Genomic DNA, 20,057 nt, shown 5'->3' with positions numbered 1-20,057 from the left:
ACTAATTTTAGAAATATCTTTAGTACTGTTATCTTTGCACTGTTATCTGTAACAACAATAGCAAAGTTCCTGGTAGTCCTGTGATCGAACCTCCCTTCTGCAACCAGATCGTTTCTATGTCTAATGAGTACATTTTGATCTGACTACCCAAAATGTGGAGATAGAAACATACAGGTGGTACTCCAGTTCTTATCTACTCTGTAAATGTGGTACCTTTGCACTGTTTACAATAGCCAAGATTTGGAAGCAAACTAAGTTGCCATCAACTGATGAATGGATAAAGAAAATGTTTTATATATATATACACATACATATATACATATACACATATATATGTACATATATGTGTGTGTATATATATACACACATACATATATATATATTTATATATATAAAATGAAGTACTATTTGGTCATAAAAGATAATGAGATCCAGTCATTTGTAACAACACAGATGGAACTGGAGATCATTATGTTAAGTGAAATAAGCCAGCCACCGAAAGACAAACATTGCATGTTCTCACTTGTTTGTGGGATCTAAAAATCAAAACAGTTGAACTCATGGACATAGAGCATAAAGGGATGGTTACCAGAGTCTGGGAGGGGTAGTGGGGAGGAGGTGCGGATGAGGTGGGGATGGTTAAGGTGCAGCAAAATAGAAAGAATGAATGAGAGCTACTATTTGATGATAGTACAAGAGGGTGACTACCGTCAATAATAACTTAAGTGTACATTTAAAAATAATTCAAAGAGTGTAATTAGATTGTTTGTAACTAGGTGGATAAATGCTTGAGGGGGTAGAAACAATGTGGTAGCTTTGGTAAGAAATCTTGCCTTAATTGAGATAAAGAAAATTTTCTCGCAAATGAGCCATTAAAATTCTAGCCATAGATATTTTTAAAAGTTGAACTTAATTTAGAAAGCTGTGTTTGCAAATTATAAATATTGCAGAAGGTCTTAAATGGTTTCCATTGTGAGATGTGAAAGAGTTCCCTGGTAATAATTCCTGGGTTAAATGAGAATGAGTGATTCATCAGTGCTTTTTAAGTTTAGAGAAAAAGGTGAATAAAATGAAATGGGAAAAATGTTAGGGAAAAATAAATACTCACAAATTAAATCTCTTCAGATCTATAAACACTCTGTAACTCTGCGGAACATAATATTTTCTTCTTTTTGGTTCTCTATTCAAGGATAACTGCTATCTCTTTTTACAAATAAAAAGCCACAATGTTCACTGCCTGACTTGAGAATGAAAATTAAGCCCAATGATCTTTTTGCAATAATCCGGGTCTTTCTTGGTGATATTTCCATTTTCAAGAATGTTATTTTTAATATAGCAGCCATCACAAAATAATTCATACCAGTATGTCTCAAAAATATAATATGTCCCATAAATTATTTATTAAAATGTTTCCTGAAAAAACAAAAGATTTCATTGTCAAAAATGTTTTGGATAATCTAAATATTAGATAATTTTCTCAGAGACTTAAAATGCACATTGTCATATATTGAAGAGTTCTGTAGTAAGTCAACCTATATGATTGTTTAACTTTGCAATTCTTGAGCATATTTAATCAAAACTTTATATTTTCTATAATGTATAAATACTATTATTGAACATTCAGAGAATGTTGACACAAGTTATCTTCAACAAAGTCTTTTATTTTTATTGTTTTTCTAACTTTTTTTGTTTTAAGAGCAAGCTTAGACAGGAGAGAGGCATAGCCCTGGAGATGGTGGCTGGGCTTGAAAGACAATATTGATCACCTTCCTTATTAGACCCAAGGATACCACTGCTTGACTCACCCACGATCCCGCTCGTAGATCCTTCTGCCCAGAAAGCCCAGGATTTCAGCCCCTGCAATAACATTGCCTGAACTCAGTAAAATTTATTCATCTCAATAGCTTGAAAAGTCACTGGCCCTGATTTATCTCATATCTGCCCCATCCAATTTCTGAGTTATAAAGTCAAATATCTCTCTGACAATAATATTGTGAATTCCTATATGTTTTGTCAGGGAAATTGGAGGAAATTTCATCTTCTCCTTATATATGTGTATAGCCATAAAAGTTAAATTTTTTTTAATATGATTTTCTGTGGCTTCTAAATGAGAAAGTATAACCTCATATTTCAAAACATGTAGAAGAGGAGGTAATCTATATTCTTAGATTTGTGATTTTTAAGAAAAAAAAGCTCTGGAGGGAAAGAGAAATGGGAAAGAAAAAAAGTACTAAAATGTCATACTGAACTTCAACTTTTGGATTTGAATATCTTTACTAGAACTTGTGCAGATTTTACTCAGGTGATTTAGGGCTCGGTGTCTTCACTTAGATTTTCCAAAGCAACTAAACCTCAACTTGTTCAAAATTAAAATCATATTCGTCCTGCAGATCCTTTGTCCCAAGCTGGATATTCTCCCTTGGGGAATAGAATCACTATTTAACTAATTGTAAGATAGAATCATAAAGCAGATTCTTGCAACTTCTTCTTAATGCCTTAAATCTAATCTATTGCAAATGTTTTTCAGTTTAACCTACTAAATATCTCATGAATACTTTCATGTTTCAGTTTATCAACACATGTCTATAGAGGCCCTACTAAGTGTCTGTCATTGTAATAATAGACACAGAACACACAGCTCTGAAGATAACAGAGTTCTTGCACTCATGAGTGTTTATTCTAGTGGGGCAAGGGTGCAGGGTGTAAACAAATAAGTAAATATCTGATATATCAGATGAAAATAAGTGGTATTACAAACAATAAAGCAGAATAAATCCAATAAATAATTACCATTGGACACATATCATTTTATGTGGCAGCTTTTTTTAAACTGAAAATTAGAGTCACATAATCCATTCAGTGAGTGAAGGCCAGCATTTGTAATAAATTGTATAAAAAAGTAGAATCCAGAAAGAAAATTTCAAGTGAGTATTTCACATAGTAAAAATGACTCTACACCTTGTTTTGTAGTTTTTTGTTGTAATGTATTAGGGTTTATATATGTGTATTTATGTAACTAATTTATAAGTGTCTCCTAAAATACCTTTTAAATATGTCTTACCATGAAGCATCACTAAAAGAAAACTAAAAATTCAAGAAAAAGAAAGAAAAAATATATCATATTGAACCATTGTAAGAGAAAAACACAGCTATGTGGTGGAAGAATGTTCAGAAAATAAAACAACTTGTATATGGACTCCAAGGTAAGAGATGTGTTCAAGGAGCATCAAAGATCCCGGCATAGCTGCAGTTCAGTGAGAGAGGGGAAGTGTGATAGGATATGTGGCTAGACCATTTAGGGCCTGGTAGACTAGGGTTAGATCTTTCTAATTTACTCAAAGTAAGACAGAAAATCACTTGAGGGTTTGAACAAAAATGTCATTTTCTCATTCACTTTTTCAGAGATGTTCCTGTCTGTATGTGGAGAAATGTAGGGAGTCAAAGATAGAAGCTAAGAGAACAGTTCGAGGGTAGAGCATGTAGAGTCTAGAAAGATATGAGAATTGACTTGAGACCAGGAGGTAATTGTGGAGAAACAGAAAAGTCATTTGATTCTGGTCCCATTTTGAAAGTATGGCCTAAATTATTTCCTAGTGAATTGGATGTGGATGGGAGAGACATAGAGGAATGAAGAGCACCAAGAGGTTTTGGTCTGAAATAGAGGAAATAGAGTTTGCATGTACTGAGAAATTCTATGAGAAGGGCACTTTTATAATATGTAGGGAAGATAAGTGATCAATTGAGATTGAATTTTGAACAAGCAGTAGGGCATATCGGTTTAGTATTTGGGGATGTGATTTAAATTGGAAGTTAACAGAAAATAAATGATATGTGAAGTCTTGAGAGTTAATGAAAATAGCAAGGAAGTTTATTTAGACAGAGAAGGAATGCAAAAAAAAAAAAAAACAGAAAGGAAGGAAAGGGAAAGGAAATGAAGGAAAGTTAAAAAAAAAAAAAAGATGTAAGGACTCAGCCTTGGGGCATTCTAATTTTTAAAGGTTTGGATATTGAAGCAGAAAGATCAGCCAATAATATAGAGGAGAAAAGAAGAGGAAGTAGAATCCTAAGTAGAAACTAAGAGAGAAAAGTGTTTCATGAAGGTGGTAGTGATCAAATATTTCAAATACTGATAGGTCCAATAAGATTGAATTTTTTAATGCAGATATTGGTGACTTTCGTAAAAGCGGTTAGATTGGTAGAAATTAAAGCATCACTGGAGTTTTCTACAGAAAACTGGAGCAGTAAAAGTGGTTAGTAAGTAAAGTTAACTTCTAAAACTTTGATAATAAAGGGAGCAGATAAATGGAAAAGCTGATGATTGGTGGGGTATGTGGGAATGAGATCTAATTAACAGATAGTGGAATTAGTCTTAAATAGAAGGATAAAACTTTTCTCCATAGTTTCAAAGAGAGAGGAACAGAACATAGATAGAGACACAGGCAATTTAATAGAGGTGTGTGAACGTTTTCAGCTGATTTCTTTCATCTTCTCAGTAAAATATAAAACAAGACCATCAAGCAATGTTAAGAGGAACAAAAAGGTGATGGGGGCTTAAGGATTATTCATTAGGCCTTTGAATCTTCAATAGCCATCTACTTTTGCTCCTAATTAAACTCTATTTGTCCAAGTATCTAGAGTATTTCTTCAATTCGATCTGAGAATGGTACTATCTAGAACCATTTAAAAACTTAAAACTTCAATAGCTCCCCATTGCTCTTTAAATAACACCTGGAATATTTAAGTGGCTTATAAGCACCTCCAAGAACTGGCTCCTTCTGCATCTTCACCATCATCTCTCACCTCTTATCTCTGCCCAACTTTTAAGCAAAACTGACCATGAAATATGATTTTTTTGTTGTTGTTATCAGAGCCTTTTTGCATGCTATTTTCAATACTCAGAAAGCCATCTAGCCTTATTCTTGCCTATTTAGCCTATTCATCCTTTGCAGCTTAACTCAAATGTTTCTTCCTCATAGAGTCTGTTTCTGACAACTCTCACTACCTTCCCACTCACAAGACTAGACAACATCCATTTGTTATATTCCCTGTTGGCTATTTTGATTTCTACCATTAGGTTCTTATCAGTTTATAATTCTTTAATTTTCTCAATAAATACCTGTGCCCCTCTGTGGTTTCTTTGGGAACACTGGCCGTGATTGTTTTGATCAATTCTGAGGTCTCTAAAGCAGCCCACTATAGAGTATCCTTCTTTCTTGGCAGAGTTCCAAAGTGATTAAGAAACAAGACAAAGGGTAAACCCTATGGGCACCAAAATATCACCCTTATGATTGATAAAGTTTAAATAGTAAGATATACCTTGTATCTGAAGGCATATGAGCTCTCTAAAACTTATCCCCCAAACCAGGCAGACTCACATAATTGTGGCAGATCCTCCCTCCCTCTCCAGAAGCAAAGAGTATTAGTTTTCTGGAGCAACTCACTTCCAAACATAATGCAAGAGAAAGGTGTTAAACTATACATGCCCATTATTTTATTTCAAAATCACTAATCATATTAAACCACTGCTCTACTCTTGGGAAGAATGAATGAGAGGAAAGAGCTCTTTCATTACAGGAGAAAACATCATGAGTAGGAAATAAACATTCCATGCTAACATGGATATAATGCAGCACTGGAGTTTATTCAAATCAGTGTTTTGTTTATAGCATACAAGCAACGCAATTTGTAAGAATGAGTGAATTAATGAGAATTAGTCATTGGCTTCTTGGCTTTCAATTCTTGTGGCACTATTCACAATAGCGAAGACTTGGAACCAACCCAAATGTCCATCAGTGATGGACTGGATTAAGAAAATGTGTCACATATACACCATGGAACACTATGCAGCCATAAAAAACGATGAGTTCATGTCCTTTATAGAAATGTGGATGAAGCTGGAAACCATCATTCTCAGCAAACTATCACAAGGACAAAAAAAACCAAACACCACATGTTCTCACTCATAGGTGGGAATTGAAAAATGAGAACCCTTGGACACAGGAAGGGGAGCATCACACACTGGGGCCTGTCATGGGGTGAGGGGAGGGGGGAGGGATAGCATTAGGAGATATACCTAATGTAAATGACGAGTTAATGGGTGCAGCACACCAACATGGCACATGTATACATATGTAACAAACCTGCACGTTGTGCACATGTACCCTAGAACTTAAAGTATAATAAAAATAAATAAATAAATAAAATTGCATTAATACCCTCAAACCCTAAGTCCATTTGGGTAGTCATATCACTCATTTAGATTCTCTTTTTTACCTTATAACGGGGGTTGGCAAACTATGACCCATGGGCCTAGTCCAAACAACTGCCTGGTTTTGTCAATAAGTCTTTGCTGGAAGAGCATTCATGTGTATATTGTCTATGGCTGCTTTTGTATAGTAGTGGCAGAGCTGGAGTAGTTGCAACAGAGACTGTGTGGCCCACAGAGCCTGAAATATTTAACCTCCTACGCTTTACAAAAATAGTTTGCTGACTCTTGCTTTAGAAAGTCAAGAAAAGGACATGGTATGGGATGAGCAAGAGCATAAGCGACCACATATTCTAGATGTAAACCTGGAGAGGAAAGAGGACATTTAAGAAAATTCAGCAGGATGAGGAAAAGAGAGGTCTTGGTGGACAGTTACACTTTGGCACTGTCTTTTTATTTGATTGATAAATACATGGAAACAGCTGCAAAGAGAACACATTTTAGCAGGAGGCAGTGGTTTGGCTCTGGCTTGGAGAGTGCTTTATGGTTACCCTTATTGACCTCTCCCACCTGGAAGTAAGCTTGAATATCAACTCAGCTTCTCCACTTCCACCTGCTTTATTCACTCTCAGGAAAGGATTTCAAGCAGGCAGTTGCTTTTACCTGAGGCTGAAGCAAAATGCTGTCATACTAATGGCGTCCTGCCTGCCGATTCCATAAAGCTATAGCTATACGTATTTTTAGTCTTCCTTAAGCATCACTGACCATGTAGCTGAGAGATTCAGACAAATAGAGAAGCTGTCTTTTTATAGCTTTGTTCATAATATATTTCTATCCAGCTGTGTTCTTAGCAGCACATCTGCCAGTTTCTGTAAAACTACCTGTTCAAAATAAAATGGAAAATGACAAAACAAGAAAAATGTAGTCTAATGCATCCATTCATCTAATTATCTCATCCTATAACAGGTAGGGGGGGGTACCTATAGTTTCTATTAGAATATACTTATATTTTTAATAGATTGAGTTTTTTTGTTTTTTTGGGTTTTTTTTGTTTGTTTGTTTTGACTGAGTCTCACTCTGTCACCCAGGCTGGAGTGCAGTGGCATGACTTCTGCTCACTGCAAGCTCCACCTCCCAGGTTCATGCCATTCTCCTGCCTCAGCCACCCAAGTAGCTGGGACTACAGGCGCCCGCCACCACGCCCAGCTAATTTTTTGTATTTTTAGTAGAGATGGGGTTTCACCATGTTAGACAGGATGGTCTCGATCTCCTGACCTCGTGATCCACCCTCCTTGGCCTCCCAAAGTGCTGGGAGTACAGGCGTGAGCCACCACACCCCACCGATTGAGGGATTTTTTTAAGCCACAAAACATTAGCTGTGATACTGGGTTTCTGAAGTACCTTGGTGCCTTGAAAATATGTGAGGTGGAGTTGAAAACAAAAAATAATAATAGCTAACATTTATTGAGAGCTTGCTATATACCAGACAATGATCTAAGAATTATTTTACTTAATCCTTATAGAAAACCTTGGGGGTAGATAATACGAGAAGCCCTATTTGACAAAAAAATGGCCATGCCCTTGCAATCATTAAGCAATAAAGGAGAGATTTAAAGATCTTATACAAGAGACTCCCTGATTTTCTTGGTTTATGGCATCCTTACTATTCAACTAATTTTTTACAATGCCCCAGTCCAGAAGAAATACCACACCACACAGTTTCACTCACTAAGTAGTTATGTCCAAGAATGTTAGTTAGCATTTATGTCCTCTGAACTTAGTAGCCATTTAAAAAAAAATAAATTCAATGAAAAAATATTTTTATTTCATGTTTACACAACCACAATCACATACCACAATGAGATGTGTATACCTGTTGGGCACTACACAGCTTCTCAAAGCTTGGAATCAGATTGGATCCTATCAGCATAATTTTTGTTCCACATTGATTTTCACATGGTCCTTAATTTGTATCTTAGCAACCTCCAAAATTTTTGCATAGTTATGGCATCATCAAAAGGAAAGCAGTGTGATCTCATTTTGAAACCATAAGCTACTTAGACCTAATAGTTTCTGAGGTGTCCGACAGTTGTTGTTGTACTTCCCTGGGGTATTTAAACTTTCCCATAGTGACCTTATAAATTTATCAGGGCATAGTGGAATGAATTTGGTACACAGTTCGGGAACTCCAGCCTTTCACTTTTCATAGCCTTCCATGTTGACTGTCTGCAAGGAATAGTAATCTGCGGTATGGGGAATTCAAAGGACCTAACAAGTAGTTCTTACCTTCTGGTAAGTGAGGAAGATAAGAGAGAGAGACATAAACAGGAACAATGGAGAAATGATGGAACTGGTGTGAGGTGAGGGAGTATGACAGTCCTAAATTACCATTGAGACCCTATACTACTGCTAGTCTAAGCACAAATGTGTGCTAATTCCTGCCACATCTTACAGGCACACAAAGAGATTCTTATTTAGGATAAACTTAAATGATAAAAATCCAATAAATATTAGAGGCAGAATTAGGTACCCTCCATTTCTACCTCAGTAATAATTCCTAAATTCATTCTGTATTCTGCCTTTCTGCTATGGTTTCTTAACCCAAACATGTGTTACTGTTGTTTATTTTTCAATGAAATTCTGGAGTCCTAGGATCCTAAACATAGTTTTTGCTACAGTGCTACTCAAATGCAGTCTACAAACTACTGTCAGTTTGTGGAAAGTTTGTTATTGTTCTGCAACAATATAAGGGCAGGAATTGATGTAAGGATGTAGAAACTTTGATAGCAATTTGGCAAAATAATTTAATTTTTGTTGGATCTAACAATAAAAAATTAGATGTTGCATTTTACGAATGCAACCTTTAAGGTTTCATTTCTCTAGTAATTAATTTTTATTATATTTTACAAAAGTTTTGTAAACAGCAGATTGGAAATTAAAGGACAAAATAAAACTGGTTCTTCACCATAGACAATTTGAGAAGCCCTGGTCTAGAAGGGGCAACTGGGTGGGCATGTTTCTTGGCCCTGTAGACTACTGACCCCATGGGGAGGGGCATGGCTTGGAGAAAGACAGGAGCTCTTTCTCCAAGGCATAGGACTCAGGATAAAGCCCAAGGTGCCCTGATCTAAGTGCTGCACCGATTCTGCTCAACACCCCAGCATAATTCTCTAGGATAGAAAGATAACTCATTTCTGTCTTCACAGCATCTAGCCTTATAGTTGGTGTATTAAAGGCACTAAATAAATAATATTTGAATGAGCAGGGGATTCAATACAATAACAATAATGATGATCATAGCGATGATGATTTCTATCATTTATTTTAATTGTGCTGTGGCAGGTGCTATGCAGAAAAGTTTATACAAATCATCTCTAATCTTCACCAGAACCGCCATAACACCAAAATAGGTGTTACGCTCTTTACTGAGAGAGGATGTTGTAATTTTACAATTTCAAAGAGAGAATGTTCTCTTGAGGTTATGCTTGGGGGGACGGAGTGGTGGTTTTATTGAAAAAAATGAGATTTTACTGAGTTTTAAAGGTGGAGCAGAGCTGTTGAAGTAGAGATAAAGAAACACCAGGGTGTATTTGCGCAGAATTATACAAACCAAAACATTCTAGACAAAAGGCACCTTCAGAACCAGAAGAATAAAAAAATATATGAAGTGTCTAGACGTAAGATACTAGGGCCTGTGAAAGATTATCATCTACATTAAGAGGGCATGTTTTAGTTAAAAGTATTCACATTTATTAAAAGCAAAACAACAGAAACAAAATTAAAACATTATGCCACTGAATGAAAAGGCTTTTATGGGCCTGACTTGGTGCTGGGTTCCTGATTTATTACATCAAAACGTGTTTTCCTTGCCTTCTTTCTATCTCTTTTACATATCCTGTTTAAATTTCCTGTGCAAAAATGTATCACTACTTGAAACGCTTATTTATGGTGTTTTAGTCCATTTTTTATTTATATATATCCTTATTCTCTACTTTCTAGGCTTTAAGCTCTATGAAATGAGGGTCCTTGTCTACCTCTTATTAATGAATACCTAGCACTTTGAAATGCTTCTAGCACATGCCTGATGCATCAACTACTTTTCCTGGTAAGAAACTACCAGTACTTACCAACAAATACTTCATGGCTTAAAACAACTTCATATTGTTATTGTCATCACAATTTTGGGGGCAGGAGGGGCAGTTTTGCTTCTGGTTTCACCTGGGTTTACTCCTGTGGCTGTGCTTAGGTGGAGGGTCAGCTCATCTGGCAATTGGTACTGGCCATCCGCAAGCATGCTTCATCTGTCCTCCACATGGCCTCTCCTCCTGCAGTAGGTTAGACTGCCTTCCTTATGGGGCATTCTCAGGGTCATATCTTAAGAGGATAAACACAGAATCTTCAAAGGCCCTAAAGCCCAGCCTTAGAAGTTGTGCAATATCACTTCTACTGTATGTATTGATGAAAGCAGGTTATGTCAGCAGTCCAGATTCAAGGAGTGGGGAAACGATGCTACTTCTTAATAGAAGAAGATGTAAAACATTGTGGCCATGATTTTTAATCAACCCCAATTGAGGTTCAATAAGAAAGTATGATAAGAATGAATAGATAGTGTGATTAAAGGTATGACCAGGAAAGATTTACAATTACTTATAAATCTTTTAATTTATAAGTAATGATTCATGTATTAGAGTTCTCTAGAGGGACCGAACTAATGGAATATATATATATGAATATATATATATGAATATATATATATACATATATATGAATATATATATGTATATATATATAGGAATATATATATAGGAATGTATATGTATAGGAATATATATAGGAATATATATAGGAATATATGTATAGGAATATATATAGGAATATATGTATAGGAATATATATAGGAATATATGTATAGGAATATCTATATATAGGAATATATATAGGAATATATATATAGGAATATATATATGGGAATATATATATATAGGAATATATATAGGAATATATATAGGAAAATATATATAGGAATATATATATAGGAATATATATATATAGGAATATATATATAGGAATATATATATATAGGAATATATATATAGGAATATATATATATAGGAATATATATATAGGAATATATATATAGGAATATATATATATAGGAATATATATATAGGAATATATATATAGGAATATATATATAGGAATATATATATAGGAATATATATATAGGAATATATATATATAGGAATATATATATATAGGAATATATATAGGAATATATATATATAGGAATATATATAGGAATATATATATAGGAATATATATATATAGGAATATATATAGGAATATATATATAGGAATATATATAGGAATATATATATAGGAATATATATAGGAATATATATATAGGAATATATATAGGAATATATATATAGGAATATATATAGGAATATATATATAGGAATATATATATAGGAATATATATATAGGAATATATATATAGGAATATATATATAGGAATATATAGGAATATATATACACATAGGAATATATATATACATAGGAATATATATATATGAATATATACATGAATATATATATACACATAGGAATATATATACACATAGGAATATATATAGGAATATATATATACATAGGAATATATACATAGGAATATATACATAGAAATATATATAGGAATATATACATAGGAATATATACATAGGAATATATACATAGGAATATATATATAGGAATATATACATAGGAATATATACATAGGACTATATACATAGGACTATATACATAGGACTATACATACAGGACTATATATATAGGACTATATATACAGGACTATATATAGGACTATATATAAGAATATATATATAGGACTATATATAGGAATATATAGGAATATATATATAGGAATATATATAGGAATATATATAGGAATATATATAGGAATATATATAGGAATATATAGGAATATATATATGGGAATATATATATGGGAATATATATATGGGAATATATATATGGGAATACATATAGGTATATAGGAATATATATATAGGAATATATATAGGAATATATACAGGAATATATATAGGAATATATATATAAATATATATAGGAATATATATAGGAATATACACATGGAAATATATACAGGAATATACATATGGAAATATATATATAGGAATATACATATGGAAATATATATAGGAATATATATATGGATATATATATATAAGAATATATATATGGGAGTTTATTAAGTATTAACTCACATGATCACAAGGTCCCACAATAGGCCATCTGTAGGCTGAGGAGCAAGGAGAGCCTGCCCAAGTTCCAAGACTGAAGAACTTGGAGTCCAATGTTCGAGGGCAGGAAGCATCCAGCACAGGAGAAGGATGGAGGCTGGGAGGCTAGGCCAGTCTCTCTTTTCACATTTTTCTGCCTGCTTATATTCTAGTTGTCATAGCCACTGATTAGATGGTGCCCACCCAGATTGAGGGTGGGTCTGCCTCTCCCAGTCCACTGACTCAAATGTTAATCTCCTTTGGCAACACCCTCACAGACACACCCAGGATCAGTACTTTGCATCCTTCAATCCAATCAAGTTGACACTCAGTATTAACCATCACAATTAGTCATATGGATTCTTGAATATAAGGTGACATGATCAAAGTGGAGTTTTAGGAAGATTAATTTGCCTGTAGCTACAAGAGGAAATAAAATAGAAAAGAACTAGATGCAGGAAAGTCATTTGAAATCTGACTTGATAAACCAAAAGTAGTAAAATGAGTTACTGAGAAAGCCATCATAAATTATATTCCTATTTCCCATTTACTTATTTGGGATTTTACAGCAATGTATGATGGTGGTATATTGCTAAATGATTGTTTGCCTTGGGAAAGATGTATGGAACCTGCCCGTGTATTGCAGAATAAATAAAAAACATCTGGAAAGGGATTTGGATAATACTCATATCTGAGTGGCTCCAGCCAGTTATCCACATATTTATCAATTCGTTTCAATTTATTGGCAACTCAAGGTAGTTCAAGTAATGCAAGGGTAAACGTGAGATCTGTTCTTTTGAAAAAATAACAGATTTTTTAACTGCCAAAGACATTACATTTAGAGGTAGTACTTTGTGTACTTTAAAGCACTTAAAGTCTCATAGCCATTTACTAAGAACTGGCTGATAGAAAGAACTAGAAATATTAACACATATAGCATTTCAATTTTCCCTAGAGATATCCTAATTTCGTGTCTTCCCATGTTGCTAAAAACAGAGTCTAATAAATCTCTATGTGTTTTCACTCTGGGTACTTATGCTTGTCAGTTCTTCTCTGGTTCAGAGATAGATTTGAAAAACACCCAGTTTTTAGGAATGTTTTCCTCTAGAAAAAACTATTATTTTATTTCTTAGAAAAGCAATAGGAAGACAATTCAAGCTTAACAGGAATCAAGTCATAAATTTATCTGGGGAGTTCTGACATTTGTGCTTCACCATAAGAAAAAGAAATTGATGGATATAGTCCTTATTCTTATGTATAAAGCCAATCTTTCAGAGTTTGGAACATTAAATCATTTTTAAAAAAATTATCTCATTGTGAAATTAGTGAAAATTAAAATTTTAACTCTAATGCATGGGGCCTAGATATTAAAATCCTTTATATAATCATAAATTTTTGATGGCTAAAAACAATAACAATGGAAAATGTCAATATATTTTGGCTAATTGAACTTTTTCAAATTAAAGCCCTTGAATTTGTAGGTATAAGAATGTAAAATTGGTATATCTTTTATGTATTACTCACAATGCAATTCTACTTTAGCTCTTTTTAAAAGCATTTTTGTTGTAAGTACATTTTGACCTTTTATAATAAAAATAATAATTCAGGTTTCAAATCTTCTTTTCATCTTTAGACTTCCAACTGCCAATTATACTACTTTACTTGGCTAGATGGAGATTTTTTTTGCTTTTTAGTTTCTCTGAGAATTGTAAGCCAGTGAGTCTGTAAGTTTAGTCCATCAAAAATCTACATCAAAATAATCAGAGGCCCCATTTCAAAATACAAAATCAGAATCTCTAGAAATGTATTTCATTGAAATTTTTTAAAAATTAATTACTTATGTAATTATTTTGAACAATTACACCTGCTCTGTATTTGACTCCCAAGTAATTTGTCCAACACAATCTAAAGTAGTAAGAAGTAATCTTTCCTTTAAAAACAAAATTGGCGTCACCTATATATTTTACAAATATGTATTAGGTGCTTTCTTTGTACCAGGAAATGCCCAAGGTAGCGGAGATTTAGGCACTAGTCAGATCAATTGGCTGCCCTCAGGAAGCTCTAGATCCAGTGAGATAATTCAATCACAATACAATCAGAAAAATGCCATGAAACATGTCAGTATCCCAACCCTAAGAACTTCAGAAAAGACTGAACATAGAGATGTTCGGAAAGGTTTTCTGGAAGAATAAAAATCACAGCAAGTTTTGAAGGCAGATTGTAAGGAATGAAGAGTTTTGCATAAAGTTTAAAGATATCATGATCTTTTCAATTACTACTATCTGTTCTGTATTACTGGAACAGAAAACATAAGTAGAAAACTAATAAGAGATAAAGAAGTCTCCTGGAGTCATTTGTGAATTTCTTTTCTTATTCTGTTTTCTAAAACATTTTTGAAATTTATTTGGCCAATAGACCCAGTATATGAGGGTATCTGATATCATTCAACTAGTTTGCACAGACTATTACTAGAGAATATGATTAGTATTATTGTCAAATATTTTGCTGAAGTAAAAATCTCATTCTATAGGAACATAGAATATCTTGTTTCTAAGATGAATCTTTTGGTACATAAAAGCAGCTTCCTGCCAAAAAATCTAGTCCTCAACTTGTTCCCATTTTAGAAAACAATCATTCACAACTCTGATCTTCATCTTATAACTCACACCCATTCTATCAACAAATTCGTTGGCTCTGCCATCAGAAAGTATACAGAATTTGACTACATTTCACCATTTGTATTACAACCACCTCGGCCTAAGCACCCATGTTATTCTCTGTATTTGAATAGTAAACCATTCCAGCTTTCATCCTTGTCTGCCTGTAATTTGTTCTCTACACATAATCTAGGATGAAACTAAAGTGAGTTTTCTATGATATAATGGGGTCAAAGAGAAAATTGGCTTTCAGCGGATCCATTTGAGGGCCTTGTGTCATTCCCTTCCCCAGTTTTGTTGGTAAATGTGCAAATGTAGCAGGCATGGCCTGAGGAGAACATCGTGACAAGGGCTCAGATCATTGTCAGTGAAGCTCTGCATCACCCCCCACTAGGTAAGTCCCCCAGATCAATAGAGGGACAGCACAAGCTAAATCTAGAAATGGCACTAAAGGAGGAAATACTGAATATCAGTTGTGGCCTTATGACCAGCTCCATCTTTGGAGTTACAGTTTTTTGCACAAACCTTCCTCTCATATTGTTTTCCCTCAAAAATCATTCAAGAGGCCTGGAGAAACTATTGCTAGAAATTATACAAATAGATCTAGGCAACATGAAGGGTGAGCTGTAGCGGGCAATGTGCTGTGTCATCTAGATCTGCTTGCAGACTGAAAAATTATTCTCCTTGGAAATTGTTGTTGGCTAAAGCCCTCAGCCATCAACATTCTGGGGTTTTATCTTGTCTGAAGACTACCATCTTTCCCAAGGTCATGCTTCCTTTCCATTAATTGTGTGTAACCAATGAATGAAGGATGCAATGATGACAAAACCTGGCTCTCCTGTCCCAATTTCAATGACTCTGGAGTAACACTCTGGCTTCAGAGTGCCCCATAAAACCAGCTGAAGCTATAACTTTTTTGCAGCCCACTTTGTTCTCTTCTCAACTGGTTTCTTTCTCCTTATCACATGTGTTCATTCTAAAAGCACTCACAATAAATACTTTGTATGTGAATCTATCTCATATTCTTATCTCCAATGAATCCCATCTGTAACAATACACTACATAACTGCACAATAAAGATCTATTTAGGCATAAATTGAAATGGCCCCCTCAGCCTGAAATTACATTTCTTGTTTCATCCTCATAGACAACTTCAATAATAGTAATATTTATTATTATCATTACTATAATGGTAATGTTTACTAATGACTGCTGACTTTGTTAAATACTTTATGTACACTTATTATCCCCCTGCCCCCCACCTACCAGTTGAAAATAAGTTTTTTGGTGGCAGGGACATATTCTAAATGGTCACCACTGAATCTTCAGCACCTATTAGAGTAAATAGCACAACATAGTTTCTCAATAAACTTACCCTGAGTGAATTATTTTAAAATAAATTAACTTTTGTAACTAATATGTGAGAATTTTTTTATCAGCAGAATTTCATTATATCAAACATATTTAGCATAAGCTACCCTCAAATGTATGCATTTATACAAGGCAGATTGTTTCTTCTCCTCTTTTAATACATAATTTTCTCAATACATATTTAAAAGCCTTAGTGAGTTTCATAAAACAATATCTGGTCTATTTTTTCTCATAGTTTTAGATTATTTCTAGAATGTTCACCATAAAGTATACTGAATAAGGCAACTGGTTTACATTTTGAATCTCAACTGAATCTCACCAAATACTAATGATCTCAACATTTTTAATTTGCTTACTGCCAATCAGAAGGGAATATGGAATTAAAAGAGTTTTTAATACAAGCTTAGGTTGTTTTCCTTTGAGAACCCTTAGAAAATGCTTTTGGAGTAGCTTGACAGGTGCTTAGGTCTTAGACATATTAAATTTCTTCCTCTCAGATGAGAGAATCTAGTCTCTGAAAAGAGTAAACAGAATTATCCAGCAGGAAGGAGGAGACACTCACACATTTTTCTACTACTGCTCTTGTCCTTGAAAATATAAATGTATCAGGCAAGCCACTGTTCCCTTCTCTCTATTAATGTGATAATCTTTCCTAAGTCACATGCTTTAAATAAAACATATTTTGTCATGACCTGTACTTCCAAGATGTACTTTTGTTTCTGGCCTGACAAAAAATGGCAATATGCCTCATTTCATTTTCTTGTTTTTTAAGACCACTTCCTTCTGGTTTCAAAAATACAGATAGTTAAAACTCAAAACTGAAGAAAGAATGTTTAAGGCAATAGTCAATCTCATTAACCTCATCAAACCTCATCAAAATACTTCCTATGCAAGAAGATTAATGCCCACCTTTTCTAAAAGCTCCAACTTTCCCATGACATTTTGACTCCACACATATGGACAAACATATGGTTTTTTATTTGATTTTTCCTGAATGTTGTAACACTCTCCTAAGCCGAGGTGAATTTGAAATTATGAGCATAAACATTAAAGATTTTTTGATTCAGAAACAATGAAGAACTTCATTCTTCACTGCTTTATTTATTTATTGTTTTGATAATTCTTTGGCCACTATTTAATAGTCATTGGACAAATATTAATAGTAAAAATAATATACTTTGAGACTTAGGGGCACCAAATACAGCTATATTTTGATTTACTGGTTTATATGCTTGCATGTTACCTATCTTTTTATATTCTAAATTTGGAATATAAACTCAGAACATTTAGAAAAATTCAAGACATTCAGGTTTACACAGTAAAAATAAGTCACAATATAAAAGTATAAAAGTCCTCAGCTTGCACATTCAGAAGATCAACAAGCGTTTATGTGATTTTGATTAACTCACTCTTTGGATCTCATTTCTGTCGTGTATGAAAATATGTCACCTAAAAGAAATTCCAATTTAGGGATTTGGATCTTATGATTATTAAAGTTTTTTATACTAACTCAGTAAACATATCTGAAGCATCCCCAGGCAAAATCTGTTCAAAATCTGTTCAAGGGACTTGAAAAGCAAATAAGTTTAGATTAAAGTGAACATTATGGTACATTCTATTATTTCTTTAGAATTTATAAGTCACATATCACAGTAAAAATATATTTACCTATTTATTCTCTGATGGAATATTAATAACTATGTCAGATTGTTGTTTGTGCTGGTCATGCTTGTTGATTTTGTTGGATTGTTAGAGAGAAAAATATGGATTGCTGTCACAGGCTTCCAAAAAAGATGTATTATGGGATAGACAGATAATTATTTATTCTGCAATGTGCCCTTCTTCTATAATAATAGAATTTAAGACACCTAGAATAATGAACAAATTTGTCAGCCTTCTTTGCAGCAAGACTAAGAGCTTGTCAATAGCACATAAATGGGAATTTTTTATGTCATCCTCTCAAATCATCTTTAAGGTCCTCTTGTTGCTTGTTCTTTGCTGCTGCTTCTTTTTATTCTTCTTTTCCTCTATCTTTGTTTAGCAGAGTAAGGCCCAGATTACACAATCTAGGATAAGATCAATACCTAAGGTATTGTGAAGTGGTCAGCTGGAAACTATGTCTCTGAGAACTTCACCGTCAGCTCTTACATGCAATAGGGAATTGCTTACTTTCACTTATGTAGGCAATAAATATACTCCTTTTCTGTTTTGGCCATAACAACTCTGGGTGTCTCTTACACCCCACTGAATGGAATCTTAACTAATACATCTATTTTAGAAGTTTAGCAAAGGAGCAAAGTTAATTTGCACTTAATGTTTTCGATATAATATTTTTATGCAACATTAATGAAAAACAGAATGAAAACAATAAAACCCAAAAGAAATAAATAAATATCCTGTCCTCTCACCCACATCCAATTTCCTTGTGACTAAACTTTACTTTTTTAAAAATATGGAATTCATTGATAGATTGTGCCCTATTTAAAAATTAATTAACTGAGTTCAAATAAGCCCTTTGGCCCAACTCCTATTAAGAATATTTATGATGATTTATACTCTCCATTGAACAGATAAATTCATGTGAGTGTTAAGACAGTATTGGCTGAATTAAATCTAAAATCACTAAGTGAATGACTTTATGTGGGGACTGCAGAAAGACTTAATGTTTTTTTTTCTTTTTTTTTCTTGGTACAATGTTATTTTCTACAACTCAGAAAAAGTCTCAAACAGCAATCTTAATCTTTAATTTCTTCCCCAAATATGTGCAAATATAACTTGGATATTTTGAAAAGAAAAATGGGGAAAGGGTGGTATATATATTTTTCTTAGTCTTGGTAACATTAGTAACTGACTTTCTAAATCAAAAGTAATGTTCCAAATAAGAACAAATAAGAAAGATCTTGCATGAAGCCAAACCTCTGTCTTAACTCTCAGGAGTTCTTGACGAATGTCCAAAGACTGGCTACACCCAAGGTATTTCCTGCTTCTTTGGTCGGGACTTTCAATAAACAAGTATCTTTCTTCTCACATTAATATTATTTATTAGGGAGCTTGTCAGTGAAAGGAGGCAGCCAAATGCCTTCAGGAAATAAAAGACCAGTATCATCGTGTCTAAACATTCAATGTCTTTGAGTCCGGCCTTTCCCACACCTGCAACCCCAATTGTATGTTTTATCAAGGTGAATTTTAACAAAAGTTCATTTACATTCCAAGTTTTCTCAATTCTTAAATTTTTAGTGTGGCTCATCATGCATATGAATGGAGTTTAGGTGAGGTGGGAAATTAATTCTACCTTACTTCCTATTCTTCTCCCCTACAATATTTTTCCTTTGACCGAGTTCCCGTATTTATGACTCAGCTATTTGAGCAATGATGTGGGTTATCTTTCATAAGTATCACCATCCAGAGTTTCACATCTTCCATCTTTCTTGGGCTAATGCTCTGCCCTATTACTCTGTTCAAAGCCCTTTGTGTCTACATGTGTTCACACAAGGGTTTGCGCACTCAAGTCGAATGATCTGT

At 33.8% G+C, this 20,057-nt stretch overlaps 1 long non-coding RNA gene across 1 annotated transcript in view; it reads right to left on the bottom strand.

Moving 5' to 3' along the window:
• The window catches only part of LINC02301 (long intergenic non-protein coding RNA 2301), a 64,194-nt gene that overhangs the window by 19,589 nt on the left and 24,548 nt on the right, over positions 1-20,057 (bottom strand). Inside the window, exon 3 of the long non-coding RNA NR_146650.1 lies at positions 1,806-1,857. This is a non-coding gene — a long non-coding RNA (long intergenic non-protein coding RNA 2301). The remainder of the gene's footprint in view (positions 1-1,805; positions 1,858-20,057) is intronic.

The sequence above is a fragment of the Homo sapiens genome, chromosome 14 (assembly GCF_000001405.40).
Source record: "Homo sapiens chromosome 14, GRCh38.p14 Primary Assembly".
Lineage (NCBI taxonomy): Eukaryota > Metazoa > Chordata > Mammalia > Primates > Hominidae > Homo > Homo sapiens.
The sequence above is the reverse complement of the archived record's forward strand: the minus strand, read 5'-3'. Positions and strand labels throughout refer to the sequence as shown.